Genomic DNA, 24,824 nt, shown 5'->3' on the forward strand with positions numbered 1-24,824 from the left:
AAGGGCTGTGCTAGTATTTGGTCTCTAAACTCCTTTACAGTTTTAGAAGTCTGTTAGTCCAAATCCCTATATACTCCAGTGCAAGCTCACACTTCTAGCCTCCTACAGCCCCGTTCTTCCCTCTCCCCATTCCCTGCAGAAAGTCAAGAAATCCAAGACAAAGTTCAGGCTTCATTATGCTTTTGGGATAGAAGCTTAGCCATGTGAGAAATGAAAAAATACACAACACAGTATCTCATTAAGAGCTAAACTTAATCATAAAGACGTTAAAATGGCATAACAATAAAAATTAAGAAAAATTAATGCTGGCAAAGGTGCTTCACAGAAAAGAAAGGGGAAAATGTCTGAATGTGGTATTTTCATTTACTACTGACAGTTTTTTTTAAATTAAAAACTTTTTTTTCTATTTATTTTTAGAGATGGGGTCTCACTTTGTTGCCTAGGCTGGAGTGCAGTAGCTATTCACAGGCATAATTATAGCTCACTGCAGCCTTGACTGAGCTCCTGGCCCCAAGTGATTCTCCCACATCAGCTTCCCATGTAGCAGGGACTACAGGTACATGCCACTGTGCCCTGACAATCACCACTGTTTTTGTTTTTTGTTTTTTGCTTTTTTCATGCACACAGGGATACCAGTTACTGTTGACATTGTAAGTAACACATGTGAGAACATCTTAGATTATTAGATCAAACAAAGGTGACAAGGAAAATACGTGTATATTCATATACATACATATCTTACAGAATGCTAAAATAGTTGTGGTAAAATCGTATTGATTGTTGAATCTGGAAAAATGTATAAAGTTCTTTCAACTTTTCTATAAATTTGAAATTATTTCAAAATAAGCTGGGCATGGCGGCTCACACCTGTAATCATCGCAATTTGGGAGGTGGAGGCAGGAGGATCGCCTGAGCCCAGGCATTGGAGACCAGCTTGGGCAATGTAGCAAGACCCCAACCTCTACAAAAAAAATTTAAAAAATTAGCCAGGCACGGTAGTGCACACCTGTCGTCCCAGTTACTTTGGAGGCTGAGGTGGGAGGATTGCTTGAGCCAGGATTTCAAGATTGCAGTGAGCTATGATAGAACCACTGTATTCCTGGGCAACAGACCAAGACCCTGTCTCCAAAAACACAAAAGAAAAAAAACTTTCAAAATAAAAATAAAAGTATTTCAATAAAAAAAGTGACAGGAGAAAGCCTACTCCTTTCTCAGATTTTCAGCCGACTCCATTTTTTATAATTAAATAGATCCAAATGTTCATATCCAACTATATTAGCGTCCTTCTCCACTGTATTAAACTAGCAAAAAGCCCACTAACCTTTCTTGATTTAAAATAATATTTTAGGCCAGATGCGGTGGCTCATGCCTGTAATCCCAGCACTTTGGGAGGCTGAGGCCCACAGATGACATGAGGTCAAGAGTTCAAGACCAGTCTGACCCATGTGGTGAAACCCCATCTCTACTAAAAATACAAAAATTAGCCAGGCGTGATGGTGCATGTCTGTAATCACAGCCACTGAGACTGAGGCAGAAGAATTGCTTGAACTCGGGAGGCAGAGGGTGCAGTGAGCCCAGATCCCGTACTGCATTCCAGCCTAGGTGACAAAACAGGACTCTTTCCCCCACTCTCCCCAAAAAAGGCTTCAAACCCATCTCAATTAAAAAAACAAAAATAAATTAATGATATTTGACATCCCTACAATGGTTGGAAGACTCTGAGTTTAGCCCTCTAGCAATATTTGAAAACACCAAGGCATTTGAAGGAAATCTCCAGCAGGAAGGAGATAACTTTAAGATCACATAGCACACTTGTTTTGCTTCAACCAGAAATTCTGCTGGATGTGTCTCAGAGTGGCCACAGGTGAAGGATGCTACCCTGAGACCACAATACAGGCTAAGTTGGCAGTAGCTGAGCTGTCAACTCAGAATACTGAATAGTTTCAGTATTCTACCTCCTACAACACTTGATTTATTATCATACTGAATGTACTTGTTCCTATAAACACACCTCTCTACACAACTTCCTATAAAAACATGTGTCCCTGGCAAGGCGTGGTGGCTCACGCCTGTAATCTCAGCACTTTGGGAGGCTGAGGCAGGTGGATCACAAGGTCAGGAGATCAAGAACAGCCTGATCAACATGGTGAAACCCTGTCTCTACTAAAAATACAAAAATTAGCTGGGTGTGGTGGCACACGCCTGTAATCCCAGCTAATCAGGAGGCTGAGGCAGAAGAATGGCTTGAACCTGGGAGGCGGAGGTTGCAGTGAGCCAAGATCACGTCACTGCACTCCAGCCTGGGCGAGAGAGCAAAACTCTGTCTCAAAAACAAAAACAAAAACAAAATGTGTCCCCATGCAACTTCCTTTCTCATTCTCCACAGTCTGTTATACATACTTTCTTTTCCAGCTCACTCCATCCAAAATATAGTATTTTACTTTATAGAAAATGATATTATATGACTGCTGTTTCCTCTACCATAAATTTATCTACATCAGAGTCCATCATTACTTCTTTCCTTCCTATTTATGAGAAAAATATAATCCCCCATTTTTATTTCTTTTTAATTTGGGGAAAATGCTAAACCAGAGAATATGCAAAATACACGTGATTCTCCTTTCCAAGGACAGCAAATATGCCCTTTATCACCTTCTTGCCACCCAGTCCTCCAACCTTCTAGACTTAATTTTTCATTCCTTCTCTCCTCATTTCTCCCCCTCTGGCTATGAGCACAGTTAAATCTCTGGCATCTTTAAAACACAAGTAAAATCCAAACTGTTTATATATATATCCCCTATAGAAGAATCTATGGATTAAAATAAATTTAGATTCTAATTCTAACGAGCTAGTTTTTTTTTTTTAATTATGAGATAACTGGTGAATTGAATACTGACTGGATATTTGGTACTAGGGAACCGGTGTGTGTTTGTTAATGGTATTGCAATTATGCTCTAAAAAGGAACCTTTTTTTTTTTTTTTTTGAGATACATGCTAATATAAAGATCAAATGATCTGGGGTTTGCTTCCAAAAAACACCTAGGGTTAAATGGAGGGAGTGATTGGGAACAGATGAAATCAGATTGCTGGCCAGGCGCGGTGGCTCACACCTGTAATCCTAGCACTTTGGGAGGCTGAGGCGGGTGAATCACCTGAGGTCAGGAGTTCGAGACCAGCCTGACCCACAGGGTGAAACCCCTCTCTACTAAAAATACAAAAATTAGCCAGGCATGGTGGCATGCGACTGCAGTCCCAGCTACTCGGGAGGCTGAGACAGGAGAATTGCTTGAATCCAGGAAGCAGAGGTTGCAGTGAGCTGAGATCTCATAAATGTATGTCATGAGAACCTATGCATACATTTAAAACATGTAGCATAGGTTCTCATAATGTATGCATAAGCAACCTATGCATACATTTAAACATCTGAATACAAGATACGGTTCCTCCATTCTCTGTTTAGTCCTTTGAGAACAAGGACTGTGTCTTTCTCTTCACTATTCCCAGCACCATGTATCTGGCCTGATACCTAGGTGGTGCCTAATAAAGGATGTTGAATGGAGAAATGATTGTAATTTGGAGGGGAAAAAATTCATCTGGAGATAAAAATACTGGCTGGTATTCTTATGAGTTTTTCTTAAAAGATGCAATCTACAAATTAAGATTCTTCTTTTTGCAACACCTTTGTTCTACTGAATTTTATTTACTTTTTTTGCTGAATATTAAAATATTATAATTTAATATTTTTTATTTTTTTGGAGGCAGGGTCTCACTCTGTCACCCAGGCTGGAGTGCAGTGGAGCGATCTTGGCTCACTGCAGCCTCAACCTCCTGGGCTCAAGTGACCTCAGTCTCCCAAGTATCTGGGACTACAGGCACACATCACCACACCCAGCTAATTTTTTGTATTTTTCTGTAGAGACAGGGCTTCGCCGTGTTGCCAAGACTGGTTTTATTTTATTTTATTTTTTTTGAGATGGAGTCTTGCTCTGTCGCCCAGGCTGGAGTGCAGTGGCACAATTTCGGCTCACTGCAAGCTCTGCCTCCCAGGTTCATGCCATTCTCCTGCCTCAGCCTCCTGAGTAGCTGGGACTACAGGCGCCCGCCACCATGCTTGGCTAATTTTTTTTTTTTTTTGTAGTTTTAGTAGAGATGGGGTTTCACCATGTTAGCCAGGATGGTCTCGATCTACTGACCTTGTCATCTGCCCACCTCTGCCTCCCAAAGTGCTGGGATTACAGGTGTGAGCCACCACACCCGGCCCCATAACTTAAATGCTCAGGACTATTACACTAATTTAGTTTAATTTATACTAAACTAAATCAACACATTCTAAGAAATAAATTTGCCTGGTCAGAGTAGGCCAAAACAAGAGTAAAATAAACAACTATTGGCTGGGCATGATGGCTCACGCCTGTAATCCCAGCATTTTGGGAGGCTGAGGTGGGCAGATCACCTGAGGTCAGGAGTTCAAGACCAGCCTGGCCAACATGGTGAAACCCCATCTCTACTAAAAATACAAAAATTAGCCGGGTGTTGTGGCACAAACCTATAATCCCAGCTACTCATGAGGCTGAGACAGGAGAATCGCTTGAACCCAGGAGGCAGAGGTTGCAGTGAGCCAAGATTGTGCCATTGCACTCCTGTCTGGGTGACAAAGGTGAAACTCCGTCTCAAAAAAAAAAAAAAAAAAAAAAAAAGAAGCAACTATTAACAATTATGTCAGGATAATAGACATAATAAACCAGGGCTATCATATATCTATGATGTGATATACAAAACAGGAATTCCCTTTAAATGTCAATAACTTATAATGAACCCTATTTCTATTTTCACATTCTGTTAAACAGGTTAAGCAGGTTATATTTATGAAAGTATTTAAATTATGCCAGAAATTTAAAAGTTTTTGGTTTAAAGCCAGAAAAATGATTTACAAGTAGCCATAATCAAAATCAACTGTGGCAGAAATCACATGTAAACATTAAACTGTATTCATATCCACGCTCAATTTTCAATGGCTTCAAACCCATTCTACCAATTGACTCCAGGCAACTATAGGTAACTGAGATTCTAGCTCTAAACTGAAGAAGAAAAACCACTTTCCCAAGTACAGCAAATTATTTAAGGATATTTAATATCCTCCTTATAGAAGATTATTAGAATCCTAAAACATTACAAGAATTAAGGAAATTTATGTCCAAACATTGTACTTTTTTCTTGTCTTTGGTTCCCTCAGATTCTGACAGATTTCTTCACACTTGAATAAGAAGTCTGCCAGCAGGGTCAGTGGGTCCTTGGAGGGGTTTTCCACTCCCTTTTTACCCCTTCCTCCTCCTGGCACCCAGCTGGACTTGTGGCCCAATCTCCTACCCCAAGGCAGCAGAGCCACATTCAGCCAGGTAGGGATTTTGATTTTAATCCCTGGTCCTCTCATTCAACACTCAACCTTGGGTACCTTTCTTTCCTACTCTGCCTCATTTCCTCTTAGTGTACAACAAGGGAGGAAAGGCCAAATCATCTGCCAGAACTCTCCTAGAAGAGAGAAATCTCAAGCCGGGTGTGGTGGCTCATGCCTGTAATCCCACCACTTTGGGAGGCCGAGGAGGGCAAACTGCCTGAGCTCACGAGTTCGAGACCAGCCTGGGCACAATGAAACTGCATTTCTACTAAAATACAAAAAAGTTAGCCAGGCGTGGTGGTGGGCGCCTGTAGTCCCAGTTACTCGGGAGGCTGAGGCAAGAGAATTGCTTGAACCCGGGAGGCAGAGGTTGCAGTGAGCCAAGATCGCACCACTGCACTCCAGCCTGGGCGACAGAGAGAGTCTCAAAAAAAAAAAAAAAGAAAAGAAAAAAGAAAAAAAGAAAAGAAAACAAAAATCTCTGCTTCTTTGCATTACTAATAGGTAATTAAAGGCTATGACAACAATACTTGATGCAGCAATTTGCTTTCTACCTTGAAACATGCAATAAATACACAAGTCTATGTCTTTTGTACCCACTGGTCATAACCATGACCTATTCTTTCTTTTTTTTTTTGTCATGGAGTTTCACTCTTGTTGCCCAGGCTGGAGTGCAGTGGCACAATCTTGGCTCACTGCAACCTCTGCCTCCTGGGTTCAAGCGATTCTCCTGACTCAGGCTCCCAAGTAGCTGGGACTACAGGTGCCCGCCACCACGCCCGGCTAATTTTTTGTATTTTTAGTAGAGATGGGATTTCGCCATGTTGGGAAGGCTGGTTGACCTATTCTTTTTTTTTTTTTTTTTTCTTGAGATAGGTAGGGTCTCAGCTCTGTTGCCCAGGATGGAGTGCAGTGTTGTGATCATAATTCACTGCAGTCTCAACCTCCTGGGCTCAAGCGATCCTCCTGCCTCAACATATGGAGTAGCTGGGACTGTGGGCATGTGCCACCATGCCAGGCTAATTTTTGTAGAGACAGGTCTCACTATGTTGCCCAGGCTGGTCTCGAACTCCTGGGCTCAAGCAATCTTTCTGCCTCAGCCTCCCAAAGTCTTGGGATTACAAGCGTTGAGTCACCACGCCCAACCCATAATTGTGACCTATTCTATAGAAAGGGGTGTTAACAGTGTGTACAAACACATACCAAGTCATCAGAAGAGGGGTCAATCCATGCTCTGGCAGGTGATCAATTTTCTTTTTTTTGAGACAGAGTCTCGCTCTGTTGCCCAGGCTGGAGTGCAGTGGCGCAATCTCGGCTCACTGCAACCCCCGCCTCCCAGGTTCAATCAGTTCTCTGCCTCAGCCTCCCTAGTACCTGGGATTACAGGTGCCCGCCACCATACCCAACTAATTTTTTTGTATTTTTAGTAGAGACAGGGTTTCACCATGTTGGCCAGGCTGGTCTTGAACTCCTGACCTCATTATCCACCTGCCTTGGCCTCCCAAAGTGCTGAGATTATAGGCGTGAGCCACTGCGCCCGGCCGATCAATTTTCTTAAACCAAATCAAATAAGGTGTCCTTTAACTCAGCCACTCAGAATTCTACATTAATCCATTTCAGTTGGTTGACTAGGTCAAACTGCAGTTTTTCTTTCACTAATTTGGATGAATCTAACATAAAAAAGACAACAATTTAACGCTATCTTGAGCTGTAATCACTTATTCATTCAACTATCCCTTAAGTACATATACTACGTGCCAGGTTCCATTTAGGTTCTAGGGATAAAGCAATAAAAAATCACCACCCAGCTGGGCACGGTGGCTCACGCCTGTAATCCCAGCACTTTGGGAGCCTGAGGCGGGCAGATCACCTGAGGTCAGGAGTTCAACACCAGCCTGGCCAACATGGTGAAACCCCGTCTCTACTAAGAATACAAAAACTAGCCCAGTGTGGTGGTGTGCATCTGTAGTCCCAGCTACTCAGAAGGCTGAGACAGGAGAATTGCTTGAACCCAGGAGGCGGGGGTTGCAGTGAGCCGAGATTGTCCCACTGCACTCCAACCTGGGCAACAGAGCAAGACTGCGTCCCAAAAAAAAAAAAAAAAAAAAAAAAGAATCACCACCCATAGAGAGCTTACATTCTTGGCAAGCAACATCAACAACATAGTACCAGGAATGATGCGGAGTGGGGTAGGTATCCTGCTCTACTTATGCTGGCTAAACTACATCTGGAAATTGTATTCCATTCTAGGCATAGGTTAAGAGGTATGATATATTAGTTATCAATTTATTGCCTTTCAGTTCCAAATCTATACTTTACTGCTCTGCTTTGCAATAATGAAGCTGGACTCTTCAAATGTTTTTCTTATGCCAATAGCAAGCACTGGAGGAATACTACAGGAGGAAGAGGATTTCCTCCTGGTTCCACTGTGTTTTCCTCTTCTTTCTCCCGTGGCCTCATGTGATGCGTGGGACACCCAGCGGTGCTCACCCACCAGTTTTAGGGATACCACAATGAGTGGCTTCAGGTGAGTTCCAGTCACCCCAGCTAACTTCCCAGTGATTTTCGACAGCACCACCCAGAGCAGCTTCCTAGACAGTTTTGTTGGCACTCCAGCAAACAATACTCTTGCTTTTAACCCTCGGCTGGTGCCATCCTCAGGAACTTAAAACTGCAACAGACTACAGCTTTACCTCCTCAAAAGGTCTGAATCTCCGCCTTGGGTAGGCTCTCTCTCCAATCTGTCTCTTTCTTTCATACTCTGCCTCAGGCACAGAGGGAGTAGCTGCTCCTATAGCTGATACACCTACATCTTTCAGAGTTCTCTTTACCCTTTAATGGTTAATCTATTACTAGTTAATAATTCTTTATGTTAACTTTCCCTTGTTCAAATTGCAATATTTCTGTTTCCAGACTGAACCCTGATCCAGAACTGGTACAAAAAGTAGGGTGATCTCAGAGGACGGACTTAAAAACATGGGATTTAGAAATTGGTTTGGTGGCACTCTTGGGTTTAAGTGCAGTGCTAAGCACCTTGCCAATGGGAAAGGGGATGCTAGTAATCCAGGACATGCAAGATCGTGGCAATAATATACTGGCAAAAACCTTCAGAACATGTGTAGGAGTAGATCATATAGCTGGAGGTGGCTCTAACAGTTCACCTCATTGGTTGACTGAAATTTTAGACTCGAGTAAATTATGTTTAAAAAAAAAAACCAAAAACAAATTTCAGCTGTGGCACATGACTGGGCTTGGTGGAGTTTCAAGATGCTGATGAATTTAAGGTCTGGCGCTTGAAAGAATCAGTGAAGCTTTTCAAGTAGATGAGATATATTTGAATATGTAACCTTTAGTAACTACAGAATAGAGGTTGCTTTTTTTGTTTTTTTGGTCCCTTTCATAGGGGTAGCAGGGGTGAATTCTGAGGTGGCCCCAATCATCTGTAGGAATATTCACCTGACAGTTTCGTGTTTCTCCCCATAGCTGAGTTGGTCTTGTAGAAAATTTCTACGGAATTCAATTCCATTATTTAAAGTAGCTTTTCTATGAACCAGCTGTGGTCTGTAACTTGACAGTGTTAATACCAAATAGCAAGACCTAATCATGGTTCACATACTCAACAAATATATAAGACTAGTTTTTCAAGTAGGTCAGTTTTGGAACACATTAATTGTAACTAGATTAGCTATTTTACAATTAAGACAACTTTATAAACTGCTTTAATTTATAAAGGTTTTAAAATTACATTCTTTTGACTCTAAAGATTGTTGTTTTACAGCATATTCTTAAATACTACTGTTGAGCCATATATATGACAATGGTGAACTTTAATGAATATCTGCACATCTGTAGTAAAATGCAATGCTACCTTCATTTTTTTGTTGGTATGCTGAAGAAACTTTTTAAAGTATCTCACTTTTTAAAAAATTGGTCAGACCCTCTCCCTCTCCCTCCTCTCCCTCCTCTCCCTCTCCCCACGGTCTCCCTCTCCCTCTCTTTCCACGGTCTCCCTCTGATGCCGAGCCGAAGCTGGGCTGTACTGCTGCCATCTCGGCTCACTGCAACCTCCCTGCCTGATTCTCCTGTCTCAGCCTGCCTAGTGCCTGCGATTGCAGACGCGCGCCGCCACGCCTGACTGGTTTTCGTATTTTTTTGGTGGAGACAGGGTTTCGCTGTGTTGGCCGGGCTGGTCTCCAGCTCCTAACCGCGAGTGATCCGCCAGCCTTGGCCTCCCGAGGTGCCGGGATTGCAGACGGAGTCTCGTTCACTCAGTGCTCAATGTTGCCCAGGCTGGAGTGCAGTGGCGTGATCTCGGCTCGCTACAACCTCCACCTCCCAGCCACCTGCCTTGGCCTCCCAAAGTGCCGAGATTGCAGCCTCTGCCCGGCAGCCACCCCGTCTGGGAAGTGAGGAGCGTCTCTGCCTGGCCGCCCATCGTCTGGGATGTGAGGAGCCCCTCTGCCTGGCTGCCCAGTCTGGAAAGTGAGGAGCGTCTCTGCCCGCCCGCCATCCCATCTAGGAAGTGAGGAGCGCCTCTTCCCGGCCGCCATCCCAACTAGGAAGTGTGGAGCGTCTCTGCCCGGCCGCCCACTGTCTGAGATGTGGGGAGCGCCTCTGCCCCGCCACCCCGTCTGGGATGTGAGGAGCGCCTCTGCCCGGCCGCGACCCCGTCTGGGAGGTGAGGAGCGTCTCTGCCCGGCCGCCCCGTCTGAGAAGTGAGGAGACCCTCCGCCCGGCAGCTGCCCCGTCTGAGAAGTGAGGAGCCCCTCCGCCCGGCAGCCACCCCGTCTGGGAAGTGAGGAGCCCCTCCGCCCAGCAGCCACCCCGTCTGGGAAGTGAGGAGCATCTCCACCCGGCAGCCGCCCCGTCCGGGAGGGAGGTGGGGGGGTCAGCCCCCCCGCCCGGCCAGCCGCCCCATCCGGGAGGGAGGTGAGGGGCGCCTCTGCCCGGCCGCCCCTACTGGGAAGTGAGGAGCCCCTCTGCCCGGCCACCACCCAGTCTGGGAGGTGTACCCAACAGCTCATTGAGAACGGGCCATGATGACAATGGCGGTTTTGTGGAATAGAAAAGGGGGAAAGGTGGGGAAAAGATTGAGAAATCGGATGGTTGCTGTGTCTGTGTAGAAAGAAGTAGACATGGGAGACTTCATTTTGTTCTGTACTAAGAAAAATTCTTCTGCCTTGGGATCCTGTTGATCTATGACCTTACCCCCAACCCTGTGCTCTCTGAAACATGTGCTGTGTCCACTCAGGGTTAAATGGAAAAAATAAATAAATAAATTAAAAAAAAAATAAAAATAAAAATAAAAATAAAAAATTGGTCAGATCGCGAGATCAGGAGTTCGAGACCAGCCTGGCCAATATGGTGAAACTCTGTCTCTACTAAAAAATACAAAAATTGGTCGGGTGTGGTGGCATGAGCCTGTAGTCCCAACTACTCGGGAGGCTGAGGCAGAAAAATTGCTTGAACTTTGGAGGCAGAGGTTGTAGTGAGCCGAGATCGCACCATTACACTCTAGCCTGAGTGACAGAGCAAGACTCCATCTCAAAAAATAAATAAAATACAAAAAAAAAATTGGTTTGTGTATTTTATATGCTTACATATTTTTCCATGGTACTGTAGGTCATTTTAGTGATTAAATTTGACACTTTTGACAGAAAAACAGGTCAATTAGTTCCTTGGGATCAAAAAGGGGTTGATTGCAAAGGGGCAGGAGGGAATTGATAGAGTGATTTTACAATGGTTCTGCATCTTGAGTATGGTATGACTATGCATTTGTCAAATCTTAGGGTGAACTTTACTGAATGTAAATTCATGCTTCAATAAACAGGACTTTAAAAACTTACAAAAAAAAACACAAAACAACAACAAAAGGACTGGGTGCAGTTCACACCTGTAATCTCAGCAGGGGGGCCAAGGTAGGAGGCTTGAGCCCAGGAGTTCAAGCCTAGAATGAGCAACACACAGAGACCCCATCTCCACAAAAAATAAAAAATTAACCAGGCACAGTGTCACATGCCTGTAATCCCAGCTACTCAGGAGGCTGAGGAAGGAGGACTACTTGAGCCTAGGAGTTCGAAATTACAGTGAGCTATGATCACGCCACTGCACTCCAGCCTGAGTGACCGAGTGAGAGCCTGTCTCTAAATAAATAAATAAAACTTTCTTTAAAAAAGAGTCCACTATGTTTAATGAGGTGGAGATGCCAAAGTTTCCCTAGCAAGATGTAGAAGAGGCAATTCAAAAACTTAGGGAGATAGAAATGTTGGAATGGATTTTTCATGTGTAACCTATGTTGCAAAAAAAAGCTCGGAAGATAATCCTTTCACTCAGGCATTGAGAAATCCATTAGTGAGGTGGGCATGGTGGTTCACACCTGTAATCCCAGTACTTTGGGAGGCCGAGCCAGGTGGATCACTTGAGGCCAGGAGTTCAAGACCAGCCTGGCCAACATGGTGAAACCCCGACTGTACTAAAAATACAAAAATTAGCCAGGTGTGGTGGTGCACAACTGTAATCCCAGCTACTTGGGAGGCTGAGGCATGAGAATTGCTTGAACCCAGGAGGCAGAGGTTGCAGTTAGCCAAGATCGTGCCACTGTACTCCAGCCTGGGTGACAGAGTGAGACTCTGTCTCAAAAAAACAAAAAAAAAAACAAACAACAACAAAAAAAGAAATGCATTAGTGAGGGGATCACCTTCATCCTTGAAAAGCTCTGTGGTTGCTCCCCTTTGCAGTGTGTCCCTGTTCCCCTAGACATGGGTTGGCAAACTTTATTTATAAAGGGCCACAGATAAACATTTTAGGTTTTACAGTCCCTAAGGTCTCTGTCACAACCCCTAGGTATGGCCATGGGAAATGCCACCACTAAGTGGGTTCCCTGATTTAAAGGGGTAACGGGATCCTAAAATAACAGAGGCCAAGTAGCAGCATGTAATCACCAAAGACAAGGTGGGAAATCTACTATAAATACAGTAAAGTTGTACTGGTAATCAGAACACCTTGGCCCACCAGGATCTTTGGCAGTAATTGATCACACAGTATTCCACAAGCAGCCTACCAAAACAGATTCATCTGTACAACTGAAAAAAACTCCAGCTCTGGTAGTAAAAACCTGACTAGAAAAGTTTTGACCTCTCATCTAATTTCTAGACCCAAGTCAATTAACAAGCCCAGGTCCCCTGAGGAAAAACCTGTAGTGTTCCCACAAGTACAAGTACATACTGTAAATCCTCATCCAAGCTTCCCCAAAGGCCATTTACTAGAGTGACTACGGATTAGAGAAAAGGAAATACCCAGACCTTTCAGGGATTACTAATTCCTGGGGACTCAAAATGCTACTGTGGCCTATCAGTCAAAGTGAGTGCTGACAGTGGTCAGGTAATAGATGAAATGCTTAGCTCAAGTCCACCTCACAGTGGACCCCATAGTACAATGGGCCTACTTTGTTGTTATCTCCTCAGTTCCTGAATAAATACTTGGAACAGACATACTTGACTATTGGCAGAGCTCCCATATTGGCTTTCTGACCCAACTGATAAGAGTCATTTTAATAGTAAGGGCTAAATGGAAGCCCCTAGAACTTACCCTCCCTACTAAGATATTAAGCCAGAAGCAATACCACATCTCAAGAATTAAAGAGCTTAATGTCACCATCAAAAGACTTGAAAGAAACAGGGTAGTGATACCTATTATATCTTGATTTAACTCGCCAGTTTGTCCTGTGCAGAAGTCAGATGGATCTTAGTGACTATCATAAACTCGTGGACTATCATAAACTTAATCTGGTGATGATTCCAATTGCAGCTGATGCCCCAGATATAGCATCTTTACTGGAGCAAATCAACATGGGTCACGGCACTTGGTATACTGCTATTAACCTGAATAATGCCTTTTTCTTCATACAAATCTGCAAGAACCACCAGAAGCACATTGCTTTTACCTGCCTTTTACGTGCCTATGAATCTAGCCTCAGGGCTATGCCATTCTCCTACCATAATGTAGCCCACAGAGATCTTGATCGCGTGACATTCCAAAAAAATAAATAAATAAGCACGTACACACACACACACACACACACACACACACACACACACACACACACTAGTCAACTATACTGACATTATGCTAATTGGGTCTGATAAATAGCAAGTAGCAAATACGTTAGATGCTTTAGTAAGACATATACAAAGTAGTTGATGCGAGATAAACCCTACAAAAATTCAGAGACCCACTGCAGCAATGAAATGTCAGGATTCAATTGCTCAAAACATGTCAAAATTTCCCTTCCAAGGTGATTAAGTTGCTCTAATTAACATCACCAACAATGAAAAAGAGGGTACAATGTTTGGTAGGCTTCAACCCAGCTACAAAGTTACCTACAAGGTTGACAGTTTAGAGTGGGTTTCAGAGCAAGAAAAGATTCTATAGCAAGTTCAAGCTGTGGTTCAAGCTGCTCTGCCATTTGGGCCTTATGATCTGGCAGATCCAATGATACTTGAAGTGTCCATGGCAAATAGGGATGCTGAATGGAGCCTTTAGCAAGCAAGAATAAGAGAATCACTGCCCAGACTTCTAGAATTTTGAGAAAATCTATGCCCTCTTTTGCAGAAAATTATTCACCTTTCAAAAAATAGTTTCAGGCTTGCTATTGGGTCTTGGCAGAGACCAAATGCCTAACCATGGGACATAATGCAACCACGTGTCCTGAGCTTCTCATCAGGAACTAGATGTTATCCAACCTATGTAGTCTAGCTTGGCATGTGCAGCACGATCTATCATCAAGTGAAAAACACGTAAAAAAAAAAATTCAAGCAGGTCCAGAAATATGAGTAAGTTACATAGGAGGTAGCTCAGACTTCAGCATTGAGTTCTGTTGCATTGCTTCCTCTCCCTCAATCCAAGTCAATGGCCTCCTGAGAGCTCCATATGACCAGCTGACTGGGGAAAGAAAAAACTCAAGTCTGGTTTACACATAGCTCTGCACAACATGCCAGTATCACCCAAAAGTGGGGAGCTGCAGCACTACAGCCCCATTTAAAGAGGTAGGACTGAAGGGCAGTGATGAAGAAAAATCTTTCCTTCAGAGGGCAGAACGTTGAGGGGTACATTTGGTTTTCCCTTTTGCCTGAGGTAAGACATGGCCAGAAGCAGAGATTTATACTCATTTATGAACAATTATTAAGGATTTTGTTGGCTAGTTAGGAACTTGGAAGGAAATGGTGACAAGGAAATCTGGGGGAAAGATATGCAGATGAAACTCTCAGAACAGGCACAGACTGTGAAGATATTTGTGTCCCATGTGAATAATCATTTGCATTCACTGTAGAGGAGGCTCTTAATAAGCAAGTTGACAAAATGACGTACTTCATGAATATAAATGTTAGACACTTTCCATAGCTACAAGAGTGCTTGCTCAATAAAACCCATGGAAAAAATCATCATGAAGGCTGTGCATGGACTCAACAACATGATCTTCCCCTAAACAGGGCTGACCTGACTAAAGCTACTGCTAAATGTCTAATCTGTTAATGGCACAGACTAACTCTGAGCCCTGAATATGCACCATTTCCCAAAAACTAGCTAACCACCTGGTGGCAAGTTGATTACGCTGGACTTCTATTATGGGGAATAAGGGCAGGGGTGAGGGAAGAGATTTGTCCTCACTAGAATAGACATGTATTCTGGATACAGATTTGCCTTCTCTGCCTATAATGTTTTTGGCAGTTCCACCACCCATGAACTTATATATAAGTGCCCAATCTACCACCATGACATTCCACACAGTGTTGCGGCTGCTTCTTTTTTTGAGATGAGGTCTCCCTCTGTCGCCCAGTCTGGAGTGCAGTGGCACGATCTTGTCTCACTGAAACCTCTGCCTTCTGGGTTCAAGTGATTCTCCCGCCTCAGCCTCCCAAGTAGCTGGGACTACAGGCATGTGCCACCATGCCCGGCTAATTTTTTTTGAATTTTTAGTAGAGATGGGGTTTCACCATGTTAGCCAGGCTGGTCTCGAACTCCTAACCTCAGGCAATCTGCCCGCCTCAGCCTCCCAAAGTGCTGGGATTACAGGTGTGAGCCACCATGCTTGGCCAAAAAAAAAGATGTATTTTTAAAATAGAGACAAGGTCTCACTATGTTACCCAGGCTGGTCTCAAACTCCTTGGCTCAAGTGATCCTCCTGCCTTGGCCTCCCAAAATGCTGGGGTTACAGGCATATGCCACCATGCCAAGCCCACACAGCATTGCTCCTGACCAAGAAAGTCATTTCATAGTAAAGAAATGCAGAAATGGGCTCATGTCCATGGACTTAACTGGTGTTGTCACATCCTATCACACAGAATGGTTGGCCTAATTAAAATAGGGAATTGATTACTGAAGACTAAGTTACAGTTTCAGGGAGACAACACCCTGAAAGGATGGGGTAATGATTTCAATCAGAGACACCTTACATGGTGCTGTCTCCTCCCTCAATCAGAATATACAGGTCTGGGAATCAAAGGGTAGAAGTATGTGCGGCTCCACTCACTATTATATCTAGCAATCACTGAATTTTTGCTTTCACTCCTAACAACTGAGTTCTGCTGGCTTGGAAGTGCTAGTCCCTAAGCAGGAAATATATCTACTAGCATACACAACAATGGTTCAATTGCATTAGAAGATGAGACTGCCACTTGGCTACTTGGGACTCCTTACACCACTGAACCAACAGGCTGAACCTACTGGTTGGGAAAGATTGAGCCCAATTGTCAAGGGGAAACGGTTGCTGCTACACAGTGAAAGCAAGGAGGACTATGTCTGAAACCCAAGGGATTATCTAAGGCACCTCTTAATACTTCCATGCCAAAAATAAAGATTAATGGAAAACTACAGCAACCAAAAAAGGACTGGACTAATGAGGGAATAAATGTTTGAGTCATTTCACCAGGTAAAGAACCTCAACCAGCTGAGGTTCGTGCTGAAGGCAAGGGAAACATGAAATAGGTAACTGAAGAAAGAAGCCTAGATATCAACTGTGGCCTCATTACTAATCACAGAAATGAGGATGAACTTTCTCTTTGTTATATTTGGTATTTGTTTGTATATTCTAACCATTTTCTTCTTTCCTTCTTCCCATTATTATAAGTTGGAATTAGTTCAGTTTAGTTTTGTTTTTTTGAGACCGAGTCTCACTCTGTTGCCCAGGCTGGAGTGCAGTGGTGCGATCTTGACTCACTGCAACCTCCGCCTCCCAGCTTCAAGTGATTCTCTTGCCTCAGCCTCCTGAGTAGCTGGGATTCCAGGGGTGTGCACCACACCCGGCTAATTTTTTTTTTTTTTTTTTTTGAGACCAAGTCTCACTCTGTCATCAGGATGGAGTGCAGCGGCAAGATCTCGGCTCACTGCAACCTCCGCCTCCCAGGTTCAAGCAATTCTCCTGCCTCAGCCTCCCAAGTAGCTGGGTCTATAGGCGTGCACCACCACACCTGGCTAATTTTTGTATTTTTAGTAGAGACGGGGTTTCACCATGTTGGCCAGGATGGTCTTGATCTCTTGACCTCGTGATCCACCCAACTCGGCCTCCCAAAGTGCTGAAATTACAGGCATGAGCCACCGCACCCGCCTTGAAATTAGATTTATAATACAACTTTTGGTAACAAACTAGTCAGTGGAACTTTGTTTTCTGCCACATGAAAATCTTTAAAGCTTATGCTGACGCATATCTGAATGCTTGTCATCAAAGTGTGCAGTAAAAAAAAAAAAGGCAGTTTAAGAAAATTTGAGCATTTCAAAGAAAGCACTTTTAAAAATGTATATACATGAAGGTGGCCGGGTGTGGTAACTCACACACCTGTAATCCCAGCACTTTTGGAGGCCAAGCGGGTGGATCACCTGAGGTCAGGAGTTCGAGACTAGCCTGGAGAACCCCCGTCTCTACTAAAAATATAAAAATCAGCCGAGCGTGGTAGCACACACCTGTGGTCCCAGCTACTTGGGAGGCTGAGAGGCAGGAGAATCGCTTGAATCTGGGAGGCGGTGGTTGCAGTGAGCCAAGATTGTGCCACTGCACTCCAGCCTGGGCAAAAGAGCGATTTTCAAGGGAAAAAAAAAAAAATGTGGCTGGGCGCAGTGGCTCACGTCTGTAATCCCAGCACTTTGGGAGGCCGAGGTGGGCAGATCACAAGGTCAGGAGATCGAGACCATCCTGGCTAACACGGTGAAACCCCGTCTCTACTAAAAATACAAAAAGAAATTAGCCGGACGTGGTGGCGGGAGCCTGTAGTCCCAGCTACTCAGGAGGCTGAGGCAGGAGCATGGCGTGAACCCGGGAGGTGGAGCATGCAGTGAGCCAAGATCGCGCCGCTGCACTCCACCCTGGGCGACAGAGCGAGACTCCATCTCAAAAAAAAAAAAAAAAATGTATATACATGAAGAACATTTTGCTATATCATGAAATAAATGTAGCGCTGTAAGATAAAGGAAGATGAATATAAATGGAGTTTTGGCCATTTTTATTTTTTTTTGAGATGAAGTCTTGTTCTGTTGCCCAGGCTGGAGTGCAGTGGTGCAATCTTGGTTCAATGAAACCTCTGCCTCCTGGGTTCAAGCAATTCTCCTGCCTCAGCCTCCCAAGTAACTGGGATTACAGGCACTCACCACCATGCCCAGCTAACTTTTTGTATTTTTAGTAGAGACAGGGTTTCATCATGTTGGCCGGGCTGGTCTTGAACTTGGGATCTCAAGTGATCCGCCTGCCTCGCCTCCCAAAGTGCTGGGATTACAGGTGTGAGCCACCATGCCCGGGCAGAGTTATGCCCATTTTGCCCCTCCACATGCTGCAGCCATCTTTAACCTGTTTAACTTAATGATTATAGTTTTGTTTTTCTTTTTTCATCTTATTCAGTATATTTCAGGCTATTCAGCAGATGCTTGTGATTCTGGAGGTTCAAATCACTGGTAAAAGTTTATTCTGTTTCCTCAGTTTTTCAGGAGCTTTTCTCCATTAAATGATCTGCTGCCTAAAGTACCCTCTGTCTTCCTCATCAACAGGCGCTAAATTCAAAAAGTACCTTACTGAAACTTTTTTGTTCATAACTTTCATTGTTGGAGTTAGGTCATATCCTGCTAACAACAGTCTTATTGATCAGTTGTAACCCCATATGTTGTGTTTTTATTCTTACTTATAAGAGGTAAATTTTTGTAACAGTCACATCCTTTAAATGATACTTCATTATATTCAAATTCTATATGTAGACAATCTTCAATGCCCACTTCCATCAGGATAGCTGGCAAGTTGGTGAACAGTAAGATCACATTCTTTTTACCAAGTCTGTCAGTCTTCTTACTACTAACACTTCAATACATCAAGAGGACATTAGCACCAATGTAAGATTCTCATGACTTTTCAACATGTATAAATTCCAAATGACAACTTCTGAGTCAGCTCTCCAGGTAAGGCTAGTTCTTTCACTAGGTTTACAAACTCTTGAATATTACTCTTATCATAGAAAAGTTCAATTTGACGTACAAATTCAATTCTAATGTTGTGGTGCTCTAGCTCTTTCTAGACTCTTTCACCTTTCCTGAAACAGATTCTCCATCATAGAGGAGATGGTGTTTTTCTACTTCGCCATTTTCAGTTTTCACTTCTGCCATTTTCTTTGTTTCCTTATCATTAAGGACAATATCAATCTCACAAATCAGACCAAAAAAGCCTCCAAAAAACCTCACTGTCAGTGATACTGCCACATCCCCCAATACTTCACTCCTCTTCCCTCAGAACTCCAAGCCCCTGGCTCCCATCACATGACCTTGGCCCTCTGAAGCTGGAACTTCTATTTGAGGACTGATAAACAGCCAGCAGGCCAAGCACAGTGGCTCACACCTATAATCCCAGGACATTGGGAGGCTGAGGCCGGAGGATTGCTTGAGCTCAGGAGTTTGAGACTAGCCTGGGCAACACAGCAAAACCCTGATTCTATTAAAACAAACAAACAAACAAAAATATAGCCAGCAATGGATACAATGACTATGGGGCTGAGCATGTCCTCATTCCTCATTTTAGAACAAGGGTGAGAGTTTCACCCTCTGACATAGCTGTATCTTGTTAGGTAGAAACATAAGAGTTTCATTGTTATATGGGAGCTCAAATGTGTGTAAAGTGCATATGGAAGCTAAGTAGCCAAAATAATAGGCTATGCAAGTAATCAATATATTGCCTCTCAATTCCAAATCTACCTTTCATTGCCCTGCCTGTAATAATGTAAACATTTCTTCCTAGAGAGCGGGCATGATGACACTAAGCTTAGTAGAGGGCATGGAAGGAAAGGGTTTCTCTTCCTGGTTCTAGTGTGCTTTTGCATCTTCTTACTTCCATGGTGCTCTGCTGGTGTGCAGAACACCCCATGGTGCTCATCCCAACAAGCTTTAGTGGGCATTCTCATGGACATCTTCCCAGGCAAGTTCCACCAGTGCCTCAAACAGGCTTGCTGGTGATGCCGCAGCACCCCCAAGTACAGCTTCCTGCTTAACTACCTTTGAGGTAGAAGACCAGCAGGACTTAATTTCCTGTCGCACCCTGCTGATTGGAACAAGATCTGGCTGAAACCAGCAGATGCTGACAAAAGTAACCTCGAGTTGCCCTCAGGGTTTATTAGCATAAAGACACTCCTACCAGTGCCATGGCAGTTTACAAATGCCATGGCAACAGCCTAGAAGTTACCTTATCTGATTCCCAGAAACTTCCAGCCCCTTTTCCAGAAAGTTCTAAATAACCTGCCTCTTAATTAGCATGTAATTAATAACAGATATAAACAGCTAGCTAGCAGCTCACAGACACCGATTCTGGGCACACTGCCTATGGGTTAGCCCTGCTCAGCAAGAAGCAGCACTGGTTCAATAAAAGTTTCTTTCTCTCACTACTGGCTCACCCTTAAATTCTTTCCTGGCAAAGCCAAGAACCCTCCTGGGTTAAGCCCCAGTCTGGGGGCTTGTTTGCCCCACATCACCCTGACCTGCAGCAACTCAGCAAACATCTTTACTACCAAATGGAGACTTCCTCCAAGATATGCAATCAGCTTTGGGGGCAGGGTGGGGGAGGGGCGCATACTTTTCCAAATTTGTTATTTCTTTGTGTACTCTGCCCCAGCCCTAAGGGTAGTGACTATTCCCTATATCTGTCATTCCTGTATTCTTTAGAGTTCTCTTTACCCCTATAGTAAATTCTCTGTTCAATTTATGGTGTAGCTTCTGTCTCCTGAATAGACTCTGATCCAAATATTGGCCATTAAAAACAGCATAAATCTACATAATAGGAAAGAGTGGAAGAAAAAATGAAAGATGTTTAACCCAAAGAAAATAAATCAGAAGGCAAATGTTAATCTCTAAATGTCTAAAAAGCTATCACCTACCGCAGAACATACTGTATCTCTGTTGCTCAGCACTAACAGCAGCAGCAGAAACAGCAGAATGCCTGTTCGTTTTACACAGAAAAACTGAAGACCAGAAATATTAATTTGTTAAATAGAAAGCAAAATCCTTCAATGAAGACCTCTAAGGAGTCTAATGTTAATACTTAAGTTTACAGTTGACATAGTTTTGCATCTTCTCATTTCATTTTAAATTGCTGAAAACCCACTGGAGGGCCAGGCTTGCCAGTTTTTTGCAGTGAGAGTCCTAAGTTAATTTTTTCACAAGAAACAAAACAAAAAAACTCTTCTTTCAGTCTGCCTGGAGCTCACTTTTGAAGTTTCACCTCCAGTTTTGTCCTCTAGAAACAGAGCATTTCTGCTTCACAATGGACCAATATGCTCCAGTTACATCCGATTAAAATACTGTTACACAACCAATTAAGTAGGAAAAGGGGCTGATGGTCAAACAGAATGATTTAACAAAAGTATATAATGGGTTGAACTGTAAGAACTTTCTATGTGGACATTAATCATCATTCTAATATCATCTTACATTTAAATATTAACCCCTTCAACGAGGTTTCAAAGCACTGAAAATAATTTCTGTCACTTCAGGCAAACAACTATTTTTATAGAGCTCTCCTTTTACACAGCAGGAATCTTAGCCTCAAAGAGGGCAAACAACTTGCCTAAGAAATCAAAGCTAGTAGGTGCTCTATCCACAGCTTCCTCAAAATTTAAACAAATTCATGACAGATAACATATTTCCAGAAAGATGCGTACCAATAACCTGGCAAGAATTATTACGATTGTATCTGGTCTTGTTTTTAAGTTTCTTTTCCCATGTGAGGCCAGAAACAAATAGATATTAAAGATTATTCATTCAATAGCTACAGAGGATCTACTATCCACCAGACAGTGTTCTAGGTGCTGGGCCACAGCAGTGACCAAAACAAAAGCCCTGTCCCTCTCATAAAATTTGTTTCTATAATATCTTCTTCTGGTGGGGAAAGGCAGATGAGATAAGTAAACTATACAAATTATTAGAAAGTGACATGACAAAAGCCACGAAGAAAATTCAAGTAGAACAGTGGGACGAAAAAATAGAAGGGGTGCAATTTTTAAAAAGATAGTCGAGAAGTACTCATTGAGAAAGTGAAGAGTCAATCATGAATATATCAAAGGGAAGAACATTCCAGGCAGAGAAAACTGCTAGTGCTCAGAGCTCAAGGCAGATGCCCACCTGGCTTGTTCAAGGAACAGTAGCAAGAACACCATGAAGCAAAGTAAGTAAAGGGGTAACTAAGAAAAGATCTGGTCAGAAAGATGACAACGACATCATAGGGCCTTGTGGTATTTCATAAGGACTTTGGCTTTTACTTTGAGATGGGCAACCACTGGAGGGTTCTGTGCAAAAGAACAGCATGATCAATGTACAGGACCACTGTAGATGTTTTTAAGAATATGCTGCAGGGAGCAAGCAAATGGAAGCAGAGAGACTAATTTGGGAAGTTATTACAGTAGCCAAGGTTAATGATGGTGGTCCAATCAGGGAGAGAGCAGTGGAGGTGGTGAGATGTGGTCAGGTTCCAAATATCTTTTTCTGACAAACTGGGTGTGGGGTGTGAGAGGAGCAGAAGAGGATAGGGAAACCAAATGTTTAGCCTTAACAACCAGGACAGAATTTCCATTTAAGGAGATGGGGAGGCAGGTGGTTTTTTTCTTCTTTTTCTTCTCTGTTTTGATTTTGGGGTGGGGCAATCATGAATTCAGTTTAGAACATTTCAAATTTGAGATATCAATTCTACATCCAAATGGAGATTTCAAGCTCGAATTTCAAATTTCCTTAGTTCTCACTCAACCCCCTCATGGAATTTAACCAATATTGTATCTGTTCTTACAAAATGTTCCCCATAACTGCTTAGCATTTAAGCAATGTTGACATATTTGTGTATTTCTCTCTGCAACTGGACAAACCAGAACAAACGTACAAAATACCTAACATATAAAGCATCCCTTTAATTCTGAAGAGATCTGTGATATGATGGTTAATTTGAAATTTTTTTCCCTTTAAATATGAGCTGCATTTGTTTATTTCTACGATTTTAACGATTTTTAAGTGTACAGTTCAGTGGTATTAAGTACATTCACACTGTTGTGCAATCATCACCACCATCCATCTCCAGAACTTTTTCATCTTGCAAATCAGAAACTTTGTACCCATTAAGCAACACCAAACACATCCATTCCCCGCCTCTCCCAGCCCCTGGGAACCACCATTCTACTTTGTTTCTGTAAATTTGACTACTTAAGGTAATTTATATAAATGGAGTATATTTATATTTGTTTCTGTAAATTTGACTACTTTAGGTACCGCATATAAATTTGTATTTTTGTGACTGGCTTTTTTCACTTAGCATAGTGTCTTCAAGGTTTATTCATGTTGTACCATATCAGAATTTCCTTCCTTTTTAAGGCTAAATAACGTTCCATTATATGAATGTACCACATTTTTGTTTATTCATTCCATGTGTTGATGGGACATCTGGGTTGCTTCCATCTTTTGGCCACTGTGAATAATGCTGCTACAAACATGAGTGTACAAATATCTGTTCAAGTCCCTGATTCCAATTCCTTTGGGCATATATCCAGAAGTTGGGTTGCTGGATCTTACAATAATTCTGTTTTTAATTTTTTGAGGAGCCACCATACTATTTTCCATAGCACTTTCATTTTACATTCCTATCAGCAGTACACAAGGGTTCTAATTTTTCCACATCCTCGTAAACACTTGTTAATTTCTGTTCTTGTTTTCATACTAGCCATCCTAATGAGTATGAAGTGATATTTCATTGTGGTTTTGATTTGCATTTCTCTAATGATTAATGATGCTGAGCATCTTTTCATGTATTTCTTGGCAATTTTTGTATCTTTTATGAAGAAATGTTTCTTCAAGTCCTTTGCCCATATTTTTAATTTTTTTTTGTTGAGCTCTAGAAGTTATTTACATATTCTGGATATTAACTCCTGAGAAGATATAAGATTTGCAAATATTTTGCCTCCATGGGTTGCCTTTTCACTCTACAGAGATAGACAAAAATTTTCAATTTTCATATAGCCTAATTTATCTGTTTTTTCTTTTGTCGTCTGTGTTTTTGGTGTATATCCAAGAAAACACTGCCAAATCCAATGTCATGAAGATTTCCCTCTATGTTTTCTTCTAAGAAATGTATAGCCTTGGTGCTTTGTTTAGGTCTTTGATCCATTTTAAGTTAATTTTTGAATATAAGATAATGGTCCCAACTTAAAAAAAAGAGAGGGAGAGACAGGATTTCTCTCTGTCTCCCAGGGTGAATGCAGCGGTGTACTTTACCATAGCTCACTGCAGCCTTGAACTCCTCAGCTCAAAGGATCCTCCTGCCTCAGTTTCCTGAGTAGCTGGGACTACAGGCCCACACTACCTTTTTTTTTTTTTTTTTTTTTTTTTTTTTTTTTTTTTGAGACAGAGTCTTGCTCTGTTGCCCAGGCTGAAGTGCAGTGGCGCAATCTTGGCTTATGTAAGCTCTGCCTCCTAGGTTCATGCCATTCTCCTGCCTCAGCCTCCTGAGTAGCTGGGACTACAGGCGCCTGCCACCATGCCCGGCTAATTTTTTGTATTTTTTAGTAGAGACGGGGTTTCACCATGTTAGCCAGGATGGTCTCGATCTCCTGACCTCATGATCTGCCCTCCTGGGACTCCCAAAGTGTTGGGATTACAGGTGTGAGCCACCGCACCTGGCCAATTTTTTTTTCTTTTAAGAGATGAGGTCTTCCTATAGTGCCTAGGCTGGTCTTGAACTCCTTGCCTCAAGCAATCCTCTCACTTGGCCTCCCAAAGCGCTGGGATTATTGGCATAAACCACTGTTCCCAGCAGGATCCAACTTTTTTATGTGGATATCCAGTTTTCCCCTCATCATTTATTGAAAACACCATCCTTTCCCATTGAATGGTCCTGGTACCGTTGTCTAAAATCATCTTACCATGTATAAAAGAGTTTATT

The 24,824-nt window shown here is 42.7% G+C and overlaps 1 protein-coding gene and 1 pseudogene across 163 annotated transcripts in view, besides 1 other annotated feature; both read right to left on the minus strand.

Annotated features, from left to right (window-relative positions):
- MAP4 (microtubule associated protein 4) overlaps positions 1-24,824 on the minus strand; it is a 238,154-nt gene that overhangs the window by 91,288 nt on the left and 122,042 nt on the right. For 2 of the 163 annotated variants that reach the window (NM_001384849.1, NM_001384863.1), the window contains exon 4: positions 20,785-20,868. The exons of the other annotated variants lie outside the window; for them this stretch is intronic. In NM_001384849.1, the coding sequence (NP_001371778.1) occupies positions 20,785-20,868 (84 nt within the window). The remainder of the gene's footprint in view (positions 1-20,784; positions 20,869-24,824) is intronic. 163 annotated transcript variants of the gene reach the window in all.
- Positions 18,348-19,099, minus strand: VPS26BP1 (VPS26B pseudogene 1; annotated as a pseudogene).
- Positions 19,963-20,072: a silencer, noted in NCBI's record as "silent region_14319". NCBI's record gives its function as "represses an Ori minimal core promoter by ATAC-STARR-seq in GM12878 lymphoblastoid cells {active_cell/tissue: GM12878}" and the evidence as "EXISTENCE:reporter gene assay evidence [ECO:0000049][PMID:35858748]".

The sequence above is a fragment of the Homo sapiens genome, chromosome 3, assembly GCF_000001405.40.
Source record: "Homo sapiens chromosome 3, GRCh38.p14 Primary Assembly".
Taxonomy (NCBI): domain Eukaryota; kingdom Metazoa; phylum Chordata; class Mammalia; order Primates; family Hominidae; genus Homo; species Homo sapiens.